At 41.4% G+C, this 24,161-nt stretch overlaps 1 protein-coding gene across 4 annotated transcripts in view, besides 1 other annotated feature; it reads left to right on the plus strand.

The window, feature by feature from the left end:
- CTNNBL1 (catenin beta like 1) overlaps positions 1–24,161 on the plus strand; it is a 178,089-nt gene that overhangs the window by 93,194 nt on the left and 60,734 nt on the right. For all 4 annotated transcript variants that reach the window (XM_024451947.2, NM_001281495.2, NM_030877.5 and 1 more), the window contains one exon: positions 15,644–15,825. In XM_024451947.2, coding sequence (XP_024307715.1) covers positions 15,644–15,825 — 182 coding nt within the window. The remainder of the gene's footprint in view (positions 1–15,643; positions 15,826–24,161) is intronic.
- Positions 1,237–2,436: an enhancer, noted in NCBI's record as "MED14-independent group 3 enhancer chr20:36416862-36418061 (GRCh37/hg19 assembly coordinates)". NCBI's record gives its function as "activates an origin of replication core promoter dependent on BRD2, BRD4, P300/CBP and CDK7 cofactors, and independent of MED14, by STARR-seq in HCT116 cells {active_cell/tissue: HCT116}" and the evidence as "EXISTENCE:reporter gene assay evidence [ECO:0000049][PMID:35650434]".

Below are 24,161 nucleotides of genomic sequence, written 5' to 3' on the forward strand. Positions count from 1 at the left end.
TCTTGGGATATGATGATCCTTCCAAGTAGCTGAGATTATAGGCACCTGCTACCACACACCTTTACTTTTTATGTCATTTTGTGTTACGTGTAACTCTTGTTAAAGACACATAACTGTGTGTTTTTTTTTTTTTTTTTTTGAGACGGAGTCTCGCTCTGTCGCCCAGGCTGGAGTGCAGTGGCGGGATCTCGGCTCACTGCAAGCTCCGCCTCCCGGGTTCACGCCATTCTCCTGCCTCAGCCTCCCAAGTAGCTGGGACTACAGGCGCCCGCCACTACGCCCGGCTAATTTTTTGTATTTTTAGTAGAGACGGGGTTTCACCGTTTTAGCCGGGATGGTCTCGATCTCCTGACCTCGTGATCCGCACGCCTTGGCCTCCCAAAGTGCTGGGATTACAGGCGTGAGCCACCGCGCCCGGCCCATAACTGTGTTTTTTAATCCAGCGTGAAAGTTTGTCTTTCAGTAGATGAATTTAACTATTTGATTTTATAGTAATTACGTTTAGCCCTTTTCCTGTTTGTTTTATGGTTTCCTTGGTTGTTTTATTGTTTTGTCTTATCTTTTTTTCACTTCCATTATTTTCCTTCTTCTTTGGAGATTTGGAAAATACTATTCTTTCTATTAGTGATTACCTTTAGTTTTTTAGAAATGTGGCTTTATTTCTTTGTCTATGAACGTTTGAAATTGTTTCTAGTCCCCTCAAGATCTGGCCTCTGCCTCATCCTCCTACTGCCATCTCTTTCATTCTTTCCTTTCTGCACATTTACATTCCACTCTCTAAACCAAACTATTTTAGATCCCTTGACACATTTTGTTATTATTATTATTTTGATGACTCACTTTTGATGTTTAGGCTTAAACTTCTCTAAGCAGCCATTTTCTTCCATGTCTCTTCCCCCACGTCTGTCCTCACATCCCCACCCCTAAGTTTTGAAGGTTGGGTGCTAGCATCCTTTGCTGCCTCTGTCAGAGCACTTTCTGCACCATGCATGGTAAGTTGTACGGCTGTGTCTTCAATTGTACTGTAATACTTTTCAGAGTAGAGACAGAGTCTTCTTCCTCTGTATCTCCAGTATCTAGCAAAAGATACACCTTTGGTTTTCTGTGTTTGGTTTCTTAATTTTCTAAATTAATGAGAAACATTTTGCTGTTTAGGATCATTGGCCCACGGAATTTTTGGCAAACCGTGTTCATAGACCCAAAGGAAGAGGAGTTAAAAAGCCTGTTGCCGAGAACTCAGTCTCTTGCCTGAACATATTTAGTTCTGTTTTCCCTGTCAAATTTTTCAGTGCATGGAAAGCACAAAACGGGGCCATAGTGTGTTGTAATCCTGATCTTGAGGCTCAGGGGAGGCTAGGAGTCCACTCGAGTCCTGGGCTCCTGCCCTGTTTGGCCTGTGCCCATGCTGGGCTTCAGAACAGAAGCTGCATAAGCTCCCCAAATGAGCTTATTCTCCTTTGCCTTTCAACTCTCTTCTTCCGTTATCCTCCCAGGTATTTAGGATTATATTAGGTTTTCAGTTCTTATCACCTTTCTTCTCAAGGTTCTAAGAAGTCCTTCATGCAGATTTGTAGTCTCTGAGCTTTCATTTCCAGGAGCTGTTTGTGAAGCACTATTACCTACTCGCCCTTACCTCACAGCCCTCTCTCCTCTAGTTTTCCCTGTCACACAGGTGACTTTTCTCCATTCCTGTGTTCAAACTGTCTGGATTTCACAGTGCTTGACAGAATCAATAAGAAGAAAAGCTTTCTTGTTTTTCTCTCTTTGCCAAAGGACAGATGAAGACATCTTGGAAAAGAAGAAAAGATTGTTGAGGTGATGTTTAAAAGTGGAACTCGTGCTGTGAAGAAAGCAGCGGGTAGCCATCCTAGAGTACAGGAACCAAAAAAAAAGAAAAGGAATTTCTCATTTGCTCACATTAGTGTCTTGATAAATGAAAAGAAAAGATGAGGTAAGGGTGGAAGACGCAGAACCTCTCAAGCAGTGGACAACTGTGTACTGAAAGGCGGAGAGGACCAGAGTCTCTGATGTAGAAGGAAATGCTCCTTTGTGCATCGGGCAGCTCAGCCTGCTTCTTTCAGTTGGATAGTCAACAGTTAGGTTACAGTAAGGATGTTTGGATGGTCTTTGGTGAGCAGCAGAAGAATTAACATATGAACATGAATGAAGTGGTAGTTTTGTAGTCTGTGATGTTTGAGAGTAAAATAAAATTCAGAAAAGTCACAATTTATTGTGCTGTTTAACAAAGTGATCAGATTCAGAGGTTCCAATCCACAAAAATAAGACAAAATTATACTTACCTGGGGTGGCCATTTTAGAATTAGTCAGGAAATGAGGATGGAACTGTAACAGTGCCCTCATTGTCCCTGGAGGGAGACTGGTTTGCCACTTCCGTTTCTTTGTTACAGATACCTCTCTTTGGTAAGATGGTTGCTACAAATAGAAGATTCCAATATATCAGGTTTAATTATAGCCTGCACTCTAAATCATTTGCTTCTTGCCACCACAAAGCACTTTTTAACAGTATGTCCTTGTATCAGAATACTTCAATGTTCTGTAAGGAGCAACAGAGCCAGTGGGAGACAAAAGAATTATATTGTCAGTTTCCTTGAAAATGTTGACATGAAGCTTATTACTTCTGCTGTAAAACCCTGTTCCAGTTAGAAAGAGAAGAGACCACTGTGATCCCAGGGGATGTGTACAAATGCAGCTTTGGGTTATGTAGCATAAATACAGTGAACCCATCTTGGTTATTAACTGTAAAGGCAAAAAGAGAAATAGGAGGATACACAGCCACATCTGTTCCAGGAACCACCAGTTTTTGTTGTTGTTGTTGTTCTAAGGTTTTCAATAAGATTTTCCTTACCCTAAAGAAAAATGTCTCTGATAAAGAAAACAAATAAAATGGCAATGGTATAATATGTGCAGAGTAAGTTTTCGCAGGCCCAATTCTGGACTGTGAGCTTGTGGCAAAGCATATAGATAGGCCAGCCTGGGGAACTTTGGATTTTTATTCCCTTGTTCTTTTCCTTACTCTACTTTGCTTTTGTTCCTAATGAACATCGGAAGGTCCAAACAATATGGCATTTTATTCTTGTCATCCTTTACATTTTTTAAGAACTAGAGTCTTTTCTTCTAACCTCCAGTCTCCCAGGATTCAAGTGCAAAAGCAAAATTATAATGGAAATCTTTTAGAAGTCAGCTGTGCTTCTTGATGGGGCCGTATACAGGTTGTGTTCCAAGCTGCACATGCAGATCTTGCTTGTTTGTCTAACAAGGAGCATTCTCTTTCCTCTTCAAGTTTAATATTACCATTCTCCCTTAGATGGATAGTGGTAGTTTGCACCTGTTCTCTAGGAACCAGAAAAATACTCCAAAACACAAAGTAATCCTTCCAACAGTCCTCCAGGCTGGCGTTACCTTTTAATAAATGGGAAAGTGCTGTGGCAAAGAAGGTAGATAAACTGAATCAAGATTACCGGGCAGGAAGTGGTGTAAGGCCTGTCTGAGCCCTGCCATCAGACCTCATAGCTATTCATCATTCCAGTGTAGTTTAAATCGCACATATTTAAAGTATACAATTTGGCGAATTTTGCAATATGTATAGACCCATCATACCCCCACTGCAAGCATGACAGTGAACATATTTGTCACACCCAAATGTTTCTTTGTGCCCCTTTGTAATTCTCTCCCCCTACCTCAGTGTCTTCAGGCAACCATTGATTTGCCTTCTGTCCATTATGTATTAGTTTGCATTTTCTAGAATTTTATGTAAATGGAGTCATACAGTGTGTTCCTTTTTTTGGTCTGACCTATTTCACTCACTGTAATTATTTTGAGATTCGTCCATGTTGTGTATCAATAATTAGTTCCTTTTTCACTGCTGAGTAGCACTCCATTATATGGATATATTGCAGTTTGTTTATTCACTTGTTGAAGGATATTTGGGTTTTCAGTTTTTTGCTCTTATGAATAATTCTGCAGTGAGCTTTCATGTGCAAATCTTTGGGCAGACATTGTAAATTGCTCTTAGGTAAATACTTAGTTAAATTGCTGGGTCATATGTTAGGTATACAGTTAACTTTTTAAGGCACTGCCATACTGTTTACAAAATGGTTATAGCATTTTAAAATTCCACAGCAGTGTGTGAGAGTTCCAGTTGCTGCACATGGAGCAGTATAGTCAGTCTTTTTTGTCTTAGCCATAGTTTTAATTTGCTTTTCCCTCATGACTAATGATGTCAGGTGTCCTTCATGTCCAAATTTGCCATCCATATATCTTTTTTGGTGATATCTCTTCAAATCTTTTGTCCATTTTGGGGGTAAGGGGTTATTTGTCTTATTGAATTTTAATAGTTCTTTATATATTATATGGTTTATATCAGAGGTTACCCCCTCAGCCCCAGAATGCACAGCAGAAGGTGAGCGGCAGGTGAGTGAGCATTACTGCCTGAGCTCTGCCTCCTATAAGGTCAGCAGTGGCATTAGATTCTCATAGGAGTGCAGATCCCATTGTGAACTGCGCGTGCGAGCGATCTAAGTTGTGCACCCCTTATGAGAATCTAATGCCTTATGATCTGAGATGGAACAGTTTCATCCTGAAATCATCCCCTGCCCCGTGGAAAAACTATCTTCCACTAAACTGGTCCCTGGTGCCAAAACGGTTGGGGAACACTGATTTATATCATGTAAGACCTACACATCTTACAGATATTTTCTCCCAGTTCATGTCTTGCTTTTCATAACACTCTTTTGAAAATTTTTCAGTTTTGATGGAGTATAATTTTTTATTTGTTCCAGTAGTCTTTTTCTGTTGGTGTCATTGAAGATATTTATTCATTTTGTCTGTTGTCAAACTTACTGGCAAAAAGATGTTCATAAATATTCTCTTATTATCCTTTTAAAATCAGTAGAATCTGTATTTGATGTGCTCTTATTTTTGATGTTAGTAATCTGTGCCTATTTTTCTCTGATCAGTGTGGCTAGAGGCTTATCAGTTTTATTGATCTCAAAATATCAGTTTTTGTTTTCATTGTTTTTCTGTTTCCGATTTCAGTGATTTCTGCTCTGGTCAGTATTTTTTTTCCCTCTCTTTCTCTCTGTGTGTTTGTGCGTGTATTTGTGTGTGTGTGTTTGAGATCAGTTCTCGCTACATTGCCCAGGCTGACCTCTAACTCCCGGACTCAAAAGATCCTCCTGCCTCAGCCTCCTAAGTAGCTGGGACTGTAGGAATGCACCATGATGCTGGGCTTTTAATCTTCATTATTTATTTTCTTTACATTACTCAGTGTTTAATTTGCTATTCTTTTTCCTACAAACTGCTCCAAAATCTGAAACTTTTTGAACATCAACATGATCTTCAAAGGAAATGCTCGTTGGAGCATTTTGAATTTTAGATTTTCTGATTAGGGATGCTCAACCAGTATAATGCAAATATTGCAAAACTGGAAAAAAAATCAAAATTTGGAACACTACTTGTTCCAAGCATTTCGAAGGGATACTCAAAGGATACCCCTAAGGGATACCCCTAAGGGATACTCAACCTGTAGGTGTTTACTGCTATAAATTTCCCTCTAATTGCTACTTTAGCTGTGTCATATAGATTTTGATATGCTGTATTTTTATCTTTATTCAATTCAAAATATTAATTTCTTTTCTGATTCATCTTTGACCAATGAGTTATTTAGAAGTATGTTGTTTAGTTTCCAAGTATTTGGGAATTTTCTGAGTATCTTTCTGTTACTGATTTCTACTTTCATACCATTCATTGTGGTCAGAGAACATACTTTGATTTCAGCCTTTCAAAATTTATTAAGACTTGTTTTTGGCCCAGAATACATTCTTATGTTGCTAAATATTGTATACTTGAATATGTATTTGCTGTTGTTGGGTGGAATGCTTTATAAATGTCAAATAGGTTAAGTTGCTGATCATGTTGTTCAAATCGTCTATATTTGTACAGATTTCCTGTCTTATTCTATCGATTATTGAGAGAAGAATATTGAAACCTCTGACTGTAATTCGGGATATGTCTATTTTTCCTTTCAGTTCTATCAGCTTTTGCTTCATATATTTTGAGTTCTTTTAGCTGCTTAAACTTATAGAATTATATGTTCTTTTGTTTAATCGACCCTTTTATTATTATGAAAATAACTTTCTTTATCCCTGGTAATGTTCTTTGATCTGAAATCTACTTTGTTTTATATTAATATAGCCACTACAACTTTCTCTTAATTAGTGCTAACGCATGGTATCTTTTACCTTCTGTTATGAACTAAACTGTGACCCTCTCCCCACCAAAATTCATTTGTTGAATTTGGAGATAGGGCCTTTAAGAAGGTAATTAAGGTTAAATGAGGCCGTAAGAGTGGGACCCTAATCCAAAAAGAGGCACCAGAAGTGCATGCACACACCTGTGGGGTAAAACCTTATAGGAGTGAACTTCTATTTCTCTCTCCAGGTTTTTATGCTTCTATTGTCATACATTTTTATTTCAAAATGTTATTAGCCCTGTTATACATTGTTGTTTTTGTTTAAGTGGTCAAGTGGTCAGTTATCTTTTTTTTCTTTTTCTTTGAGACAGAGTCTCACTCTGTTGCCCAGGCTGGAGTGCAGTGGCGTGATCTCAGCGCACTGCAACCTCTGCCTTCAGGGTTCAAGCAATTCTCCTGCCTCAGCCTCCCGAGTAGCTGGGACTACAGGCATGTGCCACCACGCCCAGCTAATTTTTGTATTTTTAGTAGAGACGGGGTTTCACCATGTTGGCCAGGCTGGTCTTGAACTCCTGACCTTGTGATCCACCTGCCTTGGCCTCCCAAACTGCTGGGATTATAGGCATGAGCCACCGCACCCGGCCAAGTGGTCAGTTATCTTTTTAAAAGAGATTTTTGAAAATAAAGAGAAAAAGTCTTTTATATTCACCCACTTATTTGCCATTTTCCTTGCTCTTCATTCCTTTGTGTAGATCCAGATTTCCATCCGGGGTCAGTTTCCTTCTGCCTAAATGACTTCCTTTAACATCTCTGGTAATGCTGGTCTACTGGTGATGACTTCTGTGAGCTGTATATGACTAAAAAAATATTTGCCTTCATCTTTTTCTTTTCTTTTCTTTTGAGACACAGTCTTGCTCTGTCACCCAGGCTGGAGTGCAGTGGCACAATCTCAGCTCACTGCAACCTCCACCTCCTGGGTTCAAGCGATTCCTGGGCCTCAGCCTCCTGAGTAGCTGGGATTACAGGCATGCACCACCACCCCTGGCTATTTGTTTTTGCTTTTTGTTTGTGTTTTTTTGAGATAGTCTCGCTCTGTCACTCAAGCTGGAGTGCAGTGGTGCGATCTTGGCTCACTACAACCTCTTCCTCCCAGGTTCAAGCGATTCTTCTACCTCAACTTCTTGAGTAGCTGGGATTACAGGTACCCACCACGACACCTGGCTAATTTTTTTTTTTTTTCTACTTTAAGTAGAGACGGGGTCTCACCATGTTGGCCAGGGCGGTCTTGAACTCCTGGCCTCAAGTGATCTTCCTGCCTCAGTCTCCCAAAGTGCTGGGATTACAGGCGTGAGCCACCGTGCCTGACTGCCTTCATCTTTGAAATATATTTTCACCAGGTATAGCTTTCTAAGTTGATAGGGTTTTTCTGGGAGTTTTTTTGTTTTTTTCCTTTCGGTACTCTTAGTTGCTCCACTGGCATCTGGCTTTCTTGGTTTTTGATGAGAAGTCTCCCATCATTCATATATGTGTTACTCTATTTGTAATTTGTCCCTTTTTTCTGGCTGTCTTTAGGATATTCTCTTTTTCATTGGTTTTGAGTTTATGTAGTTTTTTTCACGTCTCTGGTGTTTGAGGTTCGTTGAGCTACTTGGGTCTCTGGGTTTATAGTTTTCATCACAGGTGGAAATTTTTCAGTTATAATTTTTTTTTTTTTTTTTGAGACAAGGTCCCTCTCTGTTGCCCAGGCTGGCATGCAGTGATGCAGTCTCAGCTCACTGAAGCCTCTGCCTCCTCCTCTACCTCTTGGGTGCAAATGATCCTCCCACCTCAGCCTTCCAAGTAGCTGGGACTACACAGGCATGCACCACTGTGCCCAGCTAATTTAAAAAAAATATTTTTAGTAGAAATACAGTTTTGCCATGTTGCCCAGTTGGACAGTTATAGTTTTCAAACATTTTTCCTGCCCCCATCCACCTTTAAGGGAGTATAATGGTATGTATATGATATAATTATAAATTGTGTATTATAAAATATGATTCCATGTATATTAGGCTATTTGAAATTTTCCAACCACAGTTCACTGATGATGTGTTCATTTTTTCCTGTATTCTTTTTCCTTTGTGTTTTATTTTGGACAGTTTCTGTCATTATGTCCTCAAGCTCAGTCTTTCGTTTCTTCTGCAGTGTTAATCTCATCTACTGTATTTTTCCTCTGTAGCTGCTCAGTTTGGTCTTTTCTTCTATGTTTTTAGTTAACATGCTGATGCTTTTCTCGACTTTCTTCATTTTACGTATCAATTGTAGTTATAATTATGCTTTTACTGTCTTTGTCTTCTAATTCTGTCACCTGTGTTATTTTTACTGATGATTTTTTTTCTCCTCTCTGTGGGTCACATGTTCCTTCTTTGAATCCCTAGTAATTTTTTATGGAAATTCAAATATTGTGAATTTTACCTTGTTAGATGTTGAATTTTTTTTTTTTTTTTTGGAAGGGTATTTCTGTAAATGTTCTGGAGCTTTGTTCTAAGATACAAAGTTACTTGGAAATAGTTTGGTCCTTTTGAGACTTACTTTTAAGCTCTGTTAGGCAGGACCAGATTAGTCTATGGCTAATAATGCCTCGCTACTGAAGCACTACTCATCTTACTACTCCGCCAGGTGCACTGTGAATTAATAAGACTTTTCTACTGTAACTGGTGGGAATACAAACTATTCCTGGCCCTCCGTGAGCTCTGGGATTGTCTTTTCTTACTTCTCTTAGGCAGCTTCTCTCTGCAGTAGTGATTAGTTTCCTCACATGCTTGCGCTTGTCAGTTCTGGAGACTGGAAGGGGCCCTCTGCAGATCTCCGTGCAGCTCTCTGCTGTGAACTCTAGCTGCATTGCTCTGCCGGACTCCTAGCTCTGTCTCCTCCCTTCTCTGAGGCCTGGAAACTTTCCAGGCAGTCAGTTGGGCTCATTGCATGTGTTACCCTCCTGATGTCAAGTGTCTAAAAACCATTGTTTTGTTCATCTTTTTTTTTTTTTTTTTAACTTTCAGGGTTAGGGAGGGTGTAAATCCAGTCCTTGTTACCCCATTTTGGCCCAGAGTGGAAGTCCAGCAGTATATGACACTTTTTAAGCTACATTTTCTTATTCTTTATTCCTGGTGGGTAGTAATGCAATTAACTTGTATATTGATCTTATATTTAGCAACTTTGCTCTATCACATATCAGGCCTCAGTCATAACATGGTTATTTGTTGGAATAAGAAGCCCAAAATTTCAAGGACTTTCAATGACAGGTGTTTATTTTTCACTCATGGTTCATTCATCACTGGCCGTCAGAAGCTCAGCTCTACACCTTCTTTATTTCAGGACTCAGGCTGAAGGAGCAGTGCTTCATGGTACATGCCTGTCTCATGGTAGAGGGAAGAGACCGCATAATGCAATAAATCTTAAAACTTCTCCTCTGAAGTGCACATGTTACTTACATTCACGGTTTATTGGCTGTGCACAGTCACATGGCCAAGTGTGAAGTCTGTGGCGGGCGGTGGGGGTGATATGGGTAGTGATGTGTTGGAGCCGGCTCATGTAGGTTCATGAGAGCTGATGGTGCACATCTCTTCCTATCACTGCATTTAGTGATACCATATTAGTAACTTGAAATTGCCTGTGGTCGTATTTATTATTTATTTATTTTTTGTTTCTGTTTTTCTTTTTCCACCCACCCCACCCTCTGGCTGTGGTCCTATTGATCTTACTGTCTAATTCATAGAAATCCTGAATCCTGTAAAGTGATCTTGTATTTCAGACTCTAATGTAAGTGAACTTCATCATGCACGTTGTAAAGCAAAGAAAATATGATCTCATGTGGCATTATCTGTATTTCTTGCCACGATTAGTTTATGGTTCACAGAATATTTTAAAGAACACCTTGTTGCTTTTTTTTTTTTTTTTTTAATCAGTCTCCCTTGTCCAGGAAAGGAGAGGGTTTTACCTCTTTCATTTGTCCTTCAAATAAGTTTCCTTCAAGGTCCTAGTCTTCTGTTCTGAATACTTTCTGTACCCTCCCAGGGTAATCTTACTCACACCATGGATTAATTACTGCACATAGATTTGATGACTCTTTCAAAATTTTCCCTATTGGTGACTTCATTATTGGGCTTCAGACATAAAAGTTCAAGCTGGACATCACGCCGTGTTCCACAGGCATCTCAGGTTCAATCAGAACTCAACCCTTCGCACCCCCGCCTTTCTTACCAGTCTTTCTGCCTCTGATATTGTTTCTCTCTTCCTTCTGCTCCCCCATCCCTGTTACTGTCCAACACACTGTGGCAAGCATAATCTTTCTTATACACAAAAGTCAGCCTGTCTTCTGTTTTGCTGCTGCCCCTCTTCTTACTCTTTATATTCTAGCAGTACCATGCTCCACTTCCCTAAATGTCCCATGCTTAACGCCTGTCTTTGCATGTGCTCTTGTTTCCTTCTGCATGAAATACCCTCTCCCTCTTTGCGTATCCAAGAAAAACATCCCCTGCAGCTTGGTTCAGGCATCATCTCCTTTTTAAGTCCTCCCTGACTCAGACATGGTCAGCCCTCCTTCCTGCGTTCACTCTGCTTTGTATATACCTCCACCGTAGGACTTAGCTTTTCTCAGTCTGCCCATTCTCTGCATGTCTGTCTCCCCTGTGGACCAGACTCCTTGGAAGCAATGAGCTGTGCCTTGTCTCTGCATCCTGGACTTAATATCTGGCACCTGCTAGGTACCTCATAAATATTTGATGAGGGAACAAATGAACAAAGAAAATCATACTCAGAATCTGTGTTTATAGCAAAAGTGTTTTTGCATAATAAAGAAGAATAAGCTAATTAAAACTACAACAGAAAACGTTTTCTCCCACATCAGAAGGCTCACTGTTAGCAGAATAGGGAGCAGTGGATGACTCTCCACCATTTCCCACAACCCCCCAGTTTTATAGAGGCTAGCATTCACATTGGTTCTGGCGTGATCGACAGCCTGATGAACCCAGACAAGACTAAGATAAACTACTTGTCCTCCAGTAGAATAAATATTTCAAATAAAGTCAACCCAAGAAAGGCAGGCCAAACAGCTATTGATTTCTAAAAGCCTGAACTCAAGCCCAGTGAATATTCCAAAGTTCACCTCCATGCTGCTTGCCTAAGTGGTGATCAATATGCAATTACTGCCCCCTCTAAACATGTCTTACACTGCCTACCTCAAGAAGGATTTTACTTTTAAAATCTTTTGTTTGTTGAATTTGCTTAGGCAGGAAAAAAAAAGAGAGGCTTGGCTACACCAGAGTCTTTTGAATTGTATTTCAAACAGTTCTGTGTTATTTGTGAAATGGTTTGAGCGTATGCTGAATGGTAACTGAAGGTGCCCTATTTTATGACCGCCATTCATTTCAAGAGGCCTTTTCCTGAGTGACTAAACAATACAGATATTATATCTCAATGTCCTAAATTTTGCTCACATGGTTATCTGTCCTAGTCATGACTTTTATAAATTCAAGCTTGTAAGATGCTGAAGTCCAGCTGCAGTGAAAACAAGTCTCTGTTAGAATTTTCATCTTAATACAAAAAATCCCTTCGTACTGAATTTGGAGCCTTGTTTACCTGGCTCCTCATATTTAAGATTTCATGCTTCTCTCAAATAGGCCTTTTTCATACCATTGCTGTAGTCAGAACCTTTGGTCATTTCTCATTTTTGTTGTTGCCAGAGTCTCCTAACTGTCCTCCCTTACCCCCAAGCGGTGTCATTCCCGTCCCTTCTTCACATTGCTGCCAGATTAAGCCTTCTAAAATGTATCTGTCCAGGGCCCTCCCTTGTTTGAAATTCTCATGCCTTCTCGACATCTACAGGATGGAGCCTGGGTTCCCTGACAGCACGTGTGGAGCCTGTCATGACCGTGTTCCTCGCCGCCTCTCCTCAGTCATCTTCCACCACTGGCCATTCGGAACTACCTCTAGTTCCCTGGCTGGCACGCTCCTACAGGCTGCACACACCTTTGCACATGCTGTACAGCCACCACTCCCAACAGTGTCCTTGCTCTTCGTTCTCTGCCTGGCAAATACTCATTCCTTAGACTCGGTGCAGAAGTCACCTGCCATTTGACACCTTCACTGACTTCTCCCAAGGCAAATTATCTCCTCTTCTCATCATCTTGGACTTAATTTCCATTGCTTCAGACTTTTGAAAGCATTTTTATTTACCTCTTCTTACATTGCTTAAAGACAAGGACCTTATAACTCCTAGCAGCTAGCATAATGTCTGCTGCATAAAGACATATGCTCAATAGTATATGCCTTTTTTTCTTTGAAACTCAGTAGTTGGATTGATGGGCATTTGTGAATCTTTGTATTGTTTGATTGATCCACAAGGGAAATAAAGATAGGAATAGGTTAGCATGAAGTAGGATGGCCAACGCTCTCTCTTTGCCCAGGATTGAGAAGTCTGGGATGTGTTACTTTCAGTGGAACAGTCCTAAGTAAACCAGGATGGCCTGTAGCTCCAAGGGGCACTATCAGCAAGCTTTGTACCTACTCACCTTTCCTCCACTATTGGGACCCAGTCCTGGCTGGCTAGTCTGACCCAGGATAGCACTCTTTGTGACCAGTAGCACTTTAATAGTGCAGGGTTTTAATAGTGTTGTGTCTGCAAAAGACTGTCCAAAGGGGATATTATTTCTGATTCCTTTTCTTTGGCTTTCACATGAGAAATTGGATGAAAGGCTCTGGGTTGTTACCCTGTTTTTGATGAATACTGCCTTCTCTTGCAAGACCAGTCACCTCTCTCCAGCTGTTTATTTCTCCCTTGTTTATCTTTGGTCTCCACATCACCATTAGCTTTTCTTAAAAGTAGTAGTTTAAATCTTGACCCGGCTTCCCTCTCTTGGGGTTCCTCCTCCAGGCTTTACTAAGGCGTAACCTACACTCACCCTTCTTACTTTCTCACCTCCTTTTACTTTTCACTCCACTTCTGCCCTACCACTGCTCTCTGGAAGGTTGCTAGTGGCTTCCTGATGGTGAAATCTGGTGGCCGTTTATTTTGCTTTTTTGACAGACTGGAATCTCTTCAGAAACTGTCTCCTTCCTCTAACTAAAGTATTCCCTGCTTGTGTGCCCACTGTACTTATTATTTTGTTACCTAGTTTTTTGTTCATTTATTTTAAATATTTACATGTATATTATTCTTTCCCCACACTCTCCCAAATACATGTAATTTGTCTCTCTCACTTTAATGTAACACATGGCAATCTCAGAACCAACATGTTGAATTGCATCCACTTTACTCCTGGAATCACTTCTTCACTTGGATGCCTTGTGGCCTTTGATACAGCCCATGTTTCCCTCCCTGATCGAAGCTAGGAACACTCTGCTCCTTGGCGTACCTCAAACACACCAGTCGCCTGTCTACAGTTCATTTCTATTTCAGGACCTCTGTGCTTGCTGTTCCTCCTGTCTTGAATGTTGTTTTGCCCCTAAAATTTACATGACTGATTCATCTTATCACTCAGTTCTCAACACAATGTTACTCCTTAGGAGGCTTTCCTTAATAACTGAATCTAAGAGATCCACGCCAGTCATTCCTTCACATGTCCTCGTTTTACTTCCTTGACACTAACCATTATCAGGTATCTCAATTTCTCTTTGTCTCCTGCCTTGAGAATGTAAATTGCTTGAGAACTGGGACGCAATCTTTCCCAATCATGTGAGAGTTATCCAGTAAATATTTGTAGATTGAATAATACATGGGGAAAATTATATGCTGATTTATACTTTTCTCTGATCCTTTCATATTACTTTGGTCTCCCCAGATTTAGCTTTTTTTTTTGGAAGCAGAACCCATTTCTTACTGTTTTCTCTTGTGTCTACCACAGTGCTAAGTAGTTGCCCAGTAAATATTGCATATTGGTTTGGTTGGTTTATTTACCAGCTGTAGCAAGATAGGAAATGACTGACTTGCTTCTCTCTACTTCAGAGTATTTAAAAGAATAATTTAAGATTGTAGAAAAATTATGCTCCCTAGGGAAGTATCTGCAAGAATAGCAGCCAGTGGCACTATTATTCTATGACCTTTTGCTTCAAGAGGGAAAAACACCTTTATTTTTTTTCTTGAAAATAGTTTATGTTTTTTAATTCTATGTTCATTATGGAAAAATGAGAAACTGAGATATAGAAAAAGGAAAAATAAGATGCAGAAAAAGCATCTGACACAGCCCAACATTCTTTCATACCAATAGTTCAACTAGGAATAGAAGAGAACTTCTTCAACCATTGATAAAGAGCTTCTACAAAAAACCCATAACTAATGTCATACTTCATGGTGAAAGAGTGGATGTTTCCCCCCTAAGACAAGGACTAGGATTTTCACTCTCATCACTGCTATTGGGCATTGTCCTAGAGGTTCTAGCCAGGGCGATTAGGCAATAAAATGAAATAAGAAGCATCTATATTAGAAAGGAAGAAGTAAAACTATCTGTTTGCAGATAACATAGTTTATATAGAAAATCCTAAGGAATCTACTAAAAGATTATTAGAACTAGCAAACGAGTTTAGCAAGGTTGCAGGAAATAAAACCAATTGTATTTCTATACGCTTGGAGTGAGCAATCCAAAAATGAAACTAAGGAAACAATGTTGATAGCAGCATTATTCATAATAGCCAAAGGGTGGAAACAAACCAAATGTCCTTCAACTGATAAATGGACCAATTGTGGCATGTGTTATTCAGCAATAAAAAGGAATGAAGTACTGATATGTGCTACAACATGGATGAACCTTGAAAACATTGCCAAGTGAAAGAAGCCAGTCATAAGAGAACACATAATATATGGTATCTACTTACATGAAATGTCTAGAATAGGCAAATCTATAAGAAAGAACATAGATCAGTGGTTGCTTAGGGCCAGGATGGGATGAAGAGGGTAGGGGGTGTTAAGAGTATGTAGTTTCTTCTCAGGGCAATGAAAATGTTTTATAATTGACTGTGGTGGTAGCTGACATATCTGTGAATATTCTAAAACCCATTGAGTTGTACATTTTAACTGGTAGAAATTGTATAGTATGCGAATTGTCTCAATAAAGCTGTTAAAAAGAAAGAAAAATGAATAATGAAATGTCTATAATCTCAACACCCCGAAATAATCTCTTATAATTTTAGTCTCTTTCTTTCCAGTCACTTTTAATGTACATTTTTCATGTGTAATTGTGGTAATGCTTCATAAAGAATTTTGAGTATTGCCTTTTGTGTTTATCATTCTGACTGTAAGAATTTGTCCACCCTATTGTAGACGTCTTCTCCTAATTGTTAACAAGTATGTAATATTTCCATTTAGATGTATAATGTGTACGGCAGCAAATACCCTTTTTTTTTTTTAAGCTCTATAATTTCCCCATGAAATACCTTATCTGAAACCTCTTTTGTTCACAGGGAAAAGAAGATCTCCCGGAGCAGTGCCCTGAAAGTGCTGGACCATGCCATGATTGGCCCCGAAGGCACAGACAACTGCCATAAGTTTGTTGACATTCTTGGCTTACGAACCATCTTTCCCCTCTTTATGAAATCTCCCAGGAAGATCAAGAAAGTGGGAACCACTGAGAAGGAACATGAAGGTAGGGTTCACTGGAGGAGTCAGCCTAATTTAGGTGCATTAGGAGAAATAGGGAAATGTGAACTACTTTGAAAAATTCTGACGTGTTTGGGGGATAGAGGGGAAGAGTGCTACCTTTTTCTTACTATTTTCTTATTTTTCATGAATGAAAAAGAGACCCCAGGTCACTGATAGCCTTTGTTGCACCAGTTCTCTGCTTGTTTGAATCCTGGTCATTCCATTTCCTTCTGGACTGTTAATAAGTCTGTGTGTGAGGGTTTTGTTTTCTTCACTATAATTTGTAGCGAGGTGTCTCTCTGATGGAAGACCCTTTTGAAAAGAGTAATGAGGTGGCAACACATGTCACCTCCAGAGTGGTGCTTTCATGTATTTCTGTACTAAAGTATGATTCAGCCAACATCAGGAATTGCCGAAATAAACTATTTATAGCCCAGATTCCCCTTTTATGTTTCTCCTCCCTGATGGTGCACGCTCCCAGCAAAATGCTGCCATGAATTGTGACGCTGTAACCAGAGTAGTTACTGCTAGGCCAGTCTCTTCCTGCTGTTGTCTAGTGGCCTGCTGCAGCCCTCTCCCCAGTAAATAGCCACAGTGCAATCTGGAAGGCCAGGGATTTATGAGCATTGACAGTTCTGCTGGAGGCTGGCAGACACTTGCACCAGGGAATTTACATGGTTGGATGGTTATTTTAAAGTGTGGGGAGCGGGTGGAGAGGAGTGGGGAGGTAGTGTGTTGAGAGAGGAGCAGAAGCTGAGCTGACTGGCTCATTTGGCTGTTTTCTCAGAAGCAATGTTCGTCCCATGGTTTAGGAGGCTTTTTTTTTTGTCAGTGCTTGGTGGAATTGGCATGGGTATCTGCAGGATCTTTTGCATTCCTCATCCTCATAGACGAAAGTTTGAGAACTCCCGCCTCTCTCTTTTCCAGTTGACTTGGCTTAGTCTCTCCCAACTTGGAGTGGCTAAAGGGAAGGTGGTGTGACCTACCTTCAGTGGTTATCTTCAGTGATATCTTCTCTATCAAATCAACTCTCCAGAGACAACAGGAAATCTGGCTGGAGCAAAAGAGGAACTGGCCTTGCAAATACTGTGGCCTAGAGACCTGAGAACAAGTAGAGACTTCAGTTTAACTCATTTTGACCAAACACTAGCTATAAATATGTTAACCCCGTGCTAGATTTTCCCCACTGAAAATTCAGCAAAATGAGTCCCTGGGAGAGGGAATGGAGGGGGTCCTGGAGGTCTAGGAGATAAACTTTTCAGACAGTCAACATTTAGTGAAAGCCTGCCACTTTCCTGGCCCGGCTGCACTATTCGCTATCATATTTAAAACTCACAACCTATGAAGTATTGGTGGCATCCTTATTTTTTTTTTTAGAGGAGATGAACTGGGAAGGCAGCCGAGCTGTGGGTTCTACAGCTAACTAGGTGTGCGACTTTGGAACCTTGGCTTAACTTCCCTTCACTGCATTTTCCTTTCTGGTCTGTAAGATGAGGGAAGTGGACTAGTGAACTAGAAGCTCTGATAGCCACACCTTCAGATTCTCAGGAACAAGCCCTGGTTGTCAGGGTTGCCTGTGAGCCAGGAAGCTCCTCAGGGTGGATGCTGTGGCTGACCTGCTGGGTTCCACTGAGAGACCTGAGGCTGCATCTTGAGTGTGCTGGAACAGAGTGTGAAGGAAAACAGCCCTTAGCAGGCTCCTGCTCTGCGGTCATGGCACTGAGAAGAGGAGGAAGTGACAGATTCAGTGAGCAGCTGCTTTTCTTCTGAAAAATGTGCCCGGTGGCGTGCTGGTAACAGTCCATTTGCTTTAGAGTAACCGCATTAGGCATGTGATAACATTATGTTAGTGAGGGCAATGGCTTGGTAAGACGTCTCCTAGAAGGCATGTTCAGGCTGTAATGGCTGGGGAGGATGAGCTCTGCATCCTGAGCGGACCAGTACCCAGAGAGCAGAAGTGAACTCCAAGGAGAAAGCACAGCCCTCCACTCCTGCCACCCCTGCCAGCTGCTGCCACTCCTACAAACCGGCCTTCGGCCATGAATGGCAGAGTGAGAATGGAGGCAGAGCAGAGCAGTGCGCACTGTGCAGGGTTTCTTTGTCCTGTCCTCTGGGTAAGACTGTGCTCTTTGTTGGCCTCCGAGTGCCAGCCCTTCTCACGTAAGTGGGCCAGATTTGTGTGCTAAGCTAGAGCACAGTGGCCTCAGACCATCAGGAATACTGGTGGGCATGCCCAGCTCATTCCTGCCCCCGGGCTTCCAGCATGCTCTTCCCTCCATGTGCAGTGATTTTTCTCCACCCTGTCTGCCTGGCTATCTTTTAGTTGTCCTTAGTCCTTAGTTTTGTTTTTTGTTTTTTTTTTTCCTTTTTTTTTTTTTTCCCTGGCCTGTTGCCCAGGCTAGAGTGCAGTGATGCGATCTCGGCTCACTGCAGCCTCTGCCTCCCAGGTTCAACCGATTCTCCTGCCTCAGCCTCATGAGTAGCTGGGACTACAGGCGCCCACCACCACACCCAGCTACTTTTTGTATTTTTAGTAGAGATGGGGTTTCACCATGTTGGCCAGGCTGGTCTCGAACTCCTGACCTCAAGTGATCCGCCCACCTTGGCCTCCCAAAATGCTGAGATTATAGACAGGAACCACTGTGTCCGGCCTGGTCCTTAGTTTTGATGTCTCTTTCTCAGGGAAGCATGTCATGAACCCGTAGACTAGGATAGAATCTTCTGTTCAGTGGACTCTTGGTCTCAGGACTCTGCCTTCATAGCCCTTGAAATTATGGAACCAATGGCCTTGTCCCCTCTAGATCCCATTGCCTGGTCCCGTGGTGCTTGGCATGTGATAGATGCACAGTAAATGTTTCTTGACTGTGTGAATGAACAACCATTTCCCTGAAAGGCTCATTGAGGACAAACATGGGTTTGGGGCTTTCCTCAGAAACCTACAAGGTTGAAGTCAATACAGTTGATTTCAGTTCAGATTGATGGTTGTCAGTCAGTCATACACCTAGAGTGAAGGGTCTTTCATCCAGCTTGTTTGGATGCTAAAATGAGTGGGTTGCTAGCCCTAAGTTTTAACTCTGTCACATTGGCTTGGAGATTATGGCAGAACCCCCACTTTAGAGCCACACCCTTAAGAGCTTTGCTGTACACTGACCTTCCCTATAGGCAAGGCCACCCTGTGACAAGCACCTAGGGGTAGCCCAGCTCCTAGGTGGAACACTGAGGCCTGGGAATCAGCTCGCCAGTCCAGAAGCTCTAGAGAGCTACCCCACACTCTTCCCTTTCTTTCTTGTGAAGCTTCAGCGCTTGTCACTGTTGTCCACAAGAGCACCAGGATGGCTAACTAGTAGAAAGGAGAGGTTTGTTGATGATACAAGTTTGTAAACTAGAAAGAGACAGTCTGTGGCGTGTACTAAAGGTGATCTGTCTTCAAAAAACGAAAGGGCAGGTTGGGTTTTAGGCCTCACAAGGTCTGTATTAGACAAAAGAGTCATACACATTCAGCAGGTTTTGGGGGAAAGCTACACATATTTATGAGGGGAGTCAAGTGCATGCGCAATGGGTAAACATATGTAACACATTCCATGTTCACTCTGGGGCAGGGTTTTAGCATTAAAATGAGGTAGGATTTGGCTCTTTATATCAAAAGGTGAACTGTAAGACACAAAGTTTGTGTATAGTCTCTCTGAGCTTGTTGAAACTGTCTGGAAGTCTGCAGTTGCTTATCAGAAAATAATGTTTGCAAGGCCAATCATCTGTCCAATCAGAGTTAGGAGGGGTCTGATAATTTGCCTGATATTGTTAGGGAGTTTCACAAGAGTGTGTTTTTTTCTTGTAGCCATGGGAATTCAGGGAGTTGCTATGCCAGCTGAGCCCTGAACCCTCCACCTGTAGGTGACATTTATTTCCTTAACCTTAGGGTCCATCTTATTTGATAAAGGGGCATCTATTTTGGTCCCTCAGATGATATCACACATCCTGGTTTGCCTCTTTAAGTCCATCCTGGTCCCGTCATAGCCCCTGTCACCTCTTAGGGCCTTCCCCTGACTCCCAAAGTCGCAGTGCAGCCTGAGGTGGTACAGATGGATCTGCTGCTTATCAGTTGTGCCATTTTGGGCAAGTTCCTAAGCTCCCTGGGCCGCACTTGTCCTATCTGTAAAATAATGAGGCTAGAATCTACCATGAAGGGTGTTTGCAAGAGTCAGATGAGATGACATGTAGATGCTTAGCATAGACCCCAGAATAAAGCAGGCACCATAAGAGACCTTAAACTGTCTCCACCTCTGCCCACCCTGGCTTTAGTCACACATACCCATGGGGATGGCCAGGCAGAGAAAATGCCCACACCTCTACTGTGGGAGGGCCAGGAGAGGGTAGGTTGGTTTTACTGGCCTGTGGTCTAATTGCTCCATGATAACTGTGGGCAAATGGGCAAATCCATTCTTGATGGGAATGTCAGGAGTCAAGCTATGCTAAGTAGTGAGTGACATAAAAACAGCTGTGTTCCCAAGTCAACAGAAGGGCTTGAGAGATGGGAGTTTCTAGATTAAGGTGACTCTAAAGAGGGGAGTAAAAGCAAAACTGCCCTTACAACCTAGAATGCTGGTAATTTAGTTCCTCTTTTGTGACTTGGGGTGGGGAAGGAAAAGAATTATTATAATTGAAATCCATTTAGGTTTGCATAATAAAACCTTCAGAAATAGATCAGGGGAGGCACTAAGCTTGTGGGATGGGTTGGAAAGAAATGATTTGCCCTTGGGTGCACTAGCATGATTGGCTGCCTCCTTGGTTTTAAAAGAATAGCACAGTATATATTGTCTCCTTGGTATTAACTGCTTCAGAATAGGAGGGAAGAAGAAAAGAGGTGGGATCCAGAAATGGCATCCGACCTTTACTTCTTGTCTCTTTTAAAAATTCTCATTAATATAGGTCCAGTTTTCCTCGTATTGCTTCATTAGGTATGTGAGTTATTGAGTTTGTAGCAGTTCTAGTTAATTGCGCTGTTTTAACACAGTTCCCCTGGAGGCTGTTAAGAGCTTTAAGAGGGTGAGCCACCGAGCAGCATGTAGGTGTGTGGTGTGCACACTAGGTATATACACGCATTTTTACCTTTTCAGCAGTGACAGCAGTTGGTAATAGGTCAGTGCTTTAAAGAATACTTTTCTGTCATCAGCAAAGAATTGTAAGTGATTCCAGTGGACTCCACATATCAGGAAGCATACGGCTGCCTTGTGTATCTTCCTAACAGTGAGGAAATCGGGTCAGAGCTCCCACGCCGCCTCCTAGGATTAGAAGAAGGAAATGGCAGAACCTTTCCTGCAGTCAGAAAAGAAGGGAGCTTAGCCAACACAGACAAAAAGAAACATTTTTAAAAGTCTTCGTGCTGGGCTGTAATGACATGGCATTGTTTGAGGCCAGCTTTTACTGGGGCTCCTGCTATGTTCAAAATATAACAAAGACCTAGTATGTGACAGATCCAGTGGAGACAAGGAACAGAATACAATGCTTGTCCTGGGGGAGACTGCTCTTCCTAGTATTCCATCTCCAGATACTTTTCCTCTGCCTGGCCCTCAGGCATTCGTTTTTGAATAGATTGGCAGTGTCTTCCCCTAGTTCCCCTTTTTTCCTTCCATGCATTCTCCTTGGGTGATCTCATCTACTCCTGCAGCTTTAACCTTCATCTATCTGTGGTTGACTCCCAGATCTTCAGTCTAGTTCTCACTCCCTACCTCTGGTTGACACAGCTAATAATCAGCAGACAGCACCAGATATTCAAACTCAGCTTGTTCAAAACCATATCCATTCCTTCACTGCTGTCATCTTTTCTGCTTGGTAAATGGCACCAGCCTCCTCCCCACCACCCACTGTGGAAATCAACATGCCATGCTTAACTCTAATATTCCCCACGTGTAATTGATCATCAGCCCTATGAATTCACCTTAGAAAATCTCTTGAACCAGTCCTTTTCATTGCCACTGTCTCTGCCCTCATCATCTCTCCTGAACTTCACTGCAACCTTAATAAGTCTCTGCTTTAGTCTCCCAATTCTCATGTCCTCTCAAAGTTACCACCAAGGTAGGAGAGACTCCCAGCCCTCAGCAAATTTACAGTTTGAAGAAGTAGGAAAATAGACATGGGGGAAAAAGCAATTTTATAGATATTTACCACAAAACTATATTACAATTACAAAGACATACTAGACAAGAATATTTCATTGTTAAAGGGAACACAAGAACAGAAATGCTTACAGAGGAAGACACTTCTGGTGGGAGGGAGATTATGGTACAGACTGAAACAAAAGGCATTAGAATTTCAGCCAATATGTTCATTTGTTACTCCCTATATTCAGCATCTGTAGGAGAGTCTTTACACATCCAATCATGTTTGAGCCTTACAACAGCCCCTCAAGCTTGGTGTTATTTCTCATTCTGAAGATGGGGTCATTGTGAGGCTCATTGAAATCATGGCTTTAGGTCATACAGTGGGTAATTGGCTAAACTGAGAGTCAGACCCTTCCTCAGCTCCTGATCACACGTGTCACACTCATTTCACAAAGTCATTGCCATTGTTATTTGTTGTCCTGGGTCCAGACTAGCCTGCTCTTCTCTGAATTGCTGATAGTCAAGAGTTCTTGATCAGAAGACCTTGGTGCTTTGACAGGTCATCATAGTGGTAGGGACTCTTACCATTTCAAATTATAGAAGTTATTAGGGACAGATGGCAAAACAACTTGATGAAATTGTTGTTTGGCATTTGTACTGCCTATCATAGTGCTTGGTGCATGGTAGGTGCTCAGTAAATATTGAGTGAATGAATAAATGAATTTATTTAACATCTTTATATCATGTACTGGCTATAATCAACATGAGACACATGCTGGTCATTAAGAGCATTATGAAAGAGTGTTGTTAATGAGTTAACCAATTTATGGTTGTACCATAAGGCTGCTCAGCATCTGTCCTGTAGTAGTTTTCAATACATGGTTTTTTTTTTATCTTTAAGATCAAAATTAATACTTACCTTCTTGGGTAAGAATTAATTGAAGTAACTCATGCAAATCTAACACAGTGTCGGGGGTATCTTAGTCCATTTTGTGTTGCTATAACAGAATACCTGAGACTACATAATGTATAAAGAAAAGTAGTTCATTTGGCTCACAATTCTGGAGGCTGAGAAGTCCAAGATCAGGCAGCCCATCTGGTGAGGGACTCATGCTGTGTCAACTCACGGTGGAAGGCAAAAAGGGAAGAGATCGTGTGCAGAGAGAAAACACAAGAGACAGCCTTGCTTTATAACAACCTTCTCGCAGTAACTAATCTAGTCCAGCAAGAGCAAGACTTGCTTCATTCCCACCAGACTACATTAATCCCTTTGTGAGGGTGGATCTCGCATAGCCCAGGTGCCTTGTAAAGGTCTCACCACCTCTCAACACCATAACATTGTCAGTTAAATTTCAACATGAGTTTTGGTGGGGATAAACCACATCTAGACCATAATAGGTGGGTTGATAAATGTTGGTTTAGATCATTTTAATACTGACTCCAGACTTCACACTATAATAAATGTTCATTAGTGGTTGAAGAAGCCCAGAGAAAGGAGTATCCTTAGGGATTCTGGGAAGGCTTAAGAGATGAGATAACATTTGAGTACTCTTCGAAGGATACATAGTATTTAATTATTATGCCAGTGAAGGAAATGGCAGAGGGGACAGTGGGCACTAGGCATGTATAGCTAGTTATTGTGATATGGATGATGAAGAACATGAGTTTTGGATTAAGACAGGACTTAGGTTGGTCTCCTGGTTCTGTCATTTACCAGCTTTGTGACTTTGGAAAAGTTGCTTAGCCTTTTTGAGCCTGTAATTTCTTCTGTTGTAAAATTGAGATACTCTTAGAATCTATCTCATAAGGGTAACAAGTGAAGATTAAATGAAATAATACAGAAATCAAGTGCTTAGCACAGACCCTGTTTCATTAGTATTAGTGGCTGGAATGAGGATGAGTTTCCAGTTTGTATTCCTCCTCCTTCTATGTTGGTAATTTTAGAGGTACTTGCCAGAAGAACTTCTTTTCCTTCCTGAATCTACCAGTCCTAGAGGCGGGCTGTAAATATGCCAGTTCTATGTGGAATACAAGATAAAAACCTTCCCCGAGAGGATATACCAAGGAACCTCAGGTCCCTATTTCTCCTCTGTCTAAGCTATAAACAGAGGATTCAGAGGCTGTTGCCACCACCCCTGTGCCCATATTTGTATTCTCCAAGCTTGACAATCACAGAGTTGGTTATAGTGGTCAGAACAATAAGCCAGTAAAGAGTGAACAGTATTTAAGAATGGCATTAAGC

This window comes from Homo sapiens, chromosome 20 (assembly GCF_000001405.40).
Source record: "Homo sapiens chromosome 20, GRCh38.p14 Primary Assembly".
Lineage (NCBI taxonomy): Eukaryota > Metazoa > Chordata > Mammalia > Primates > Hominidae > Homo > Homo sapiens.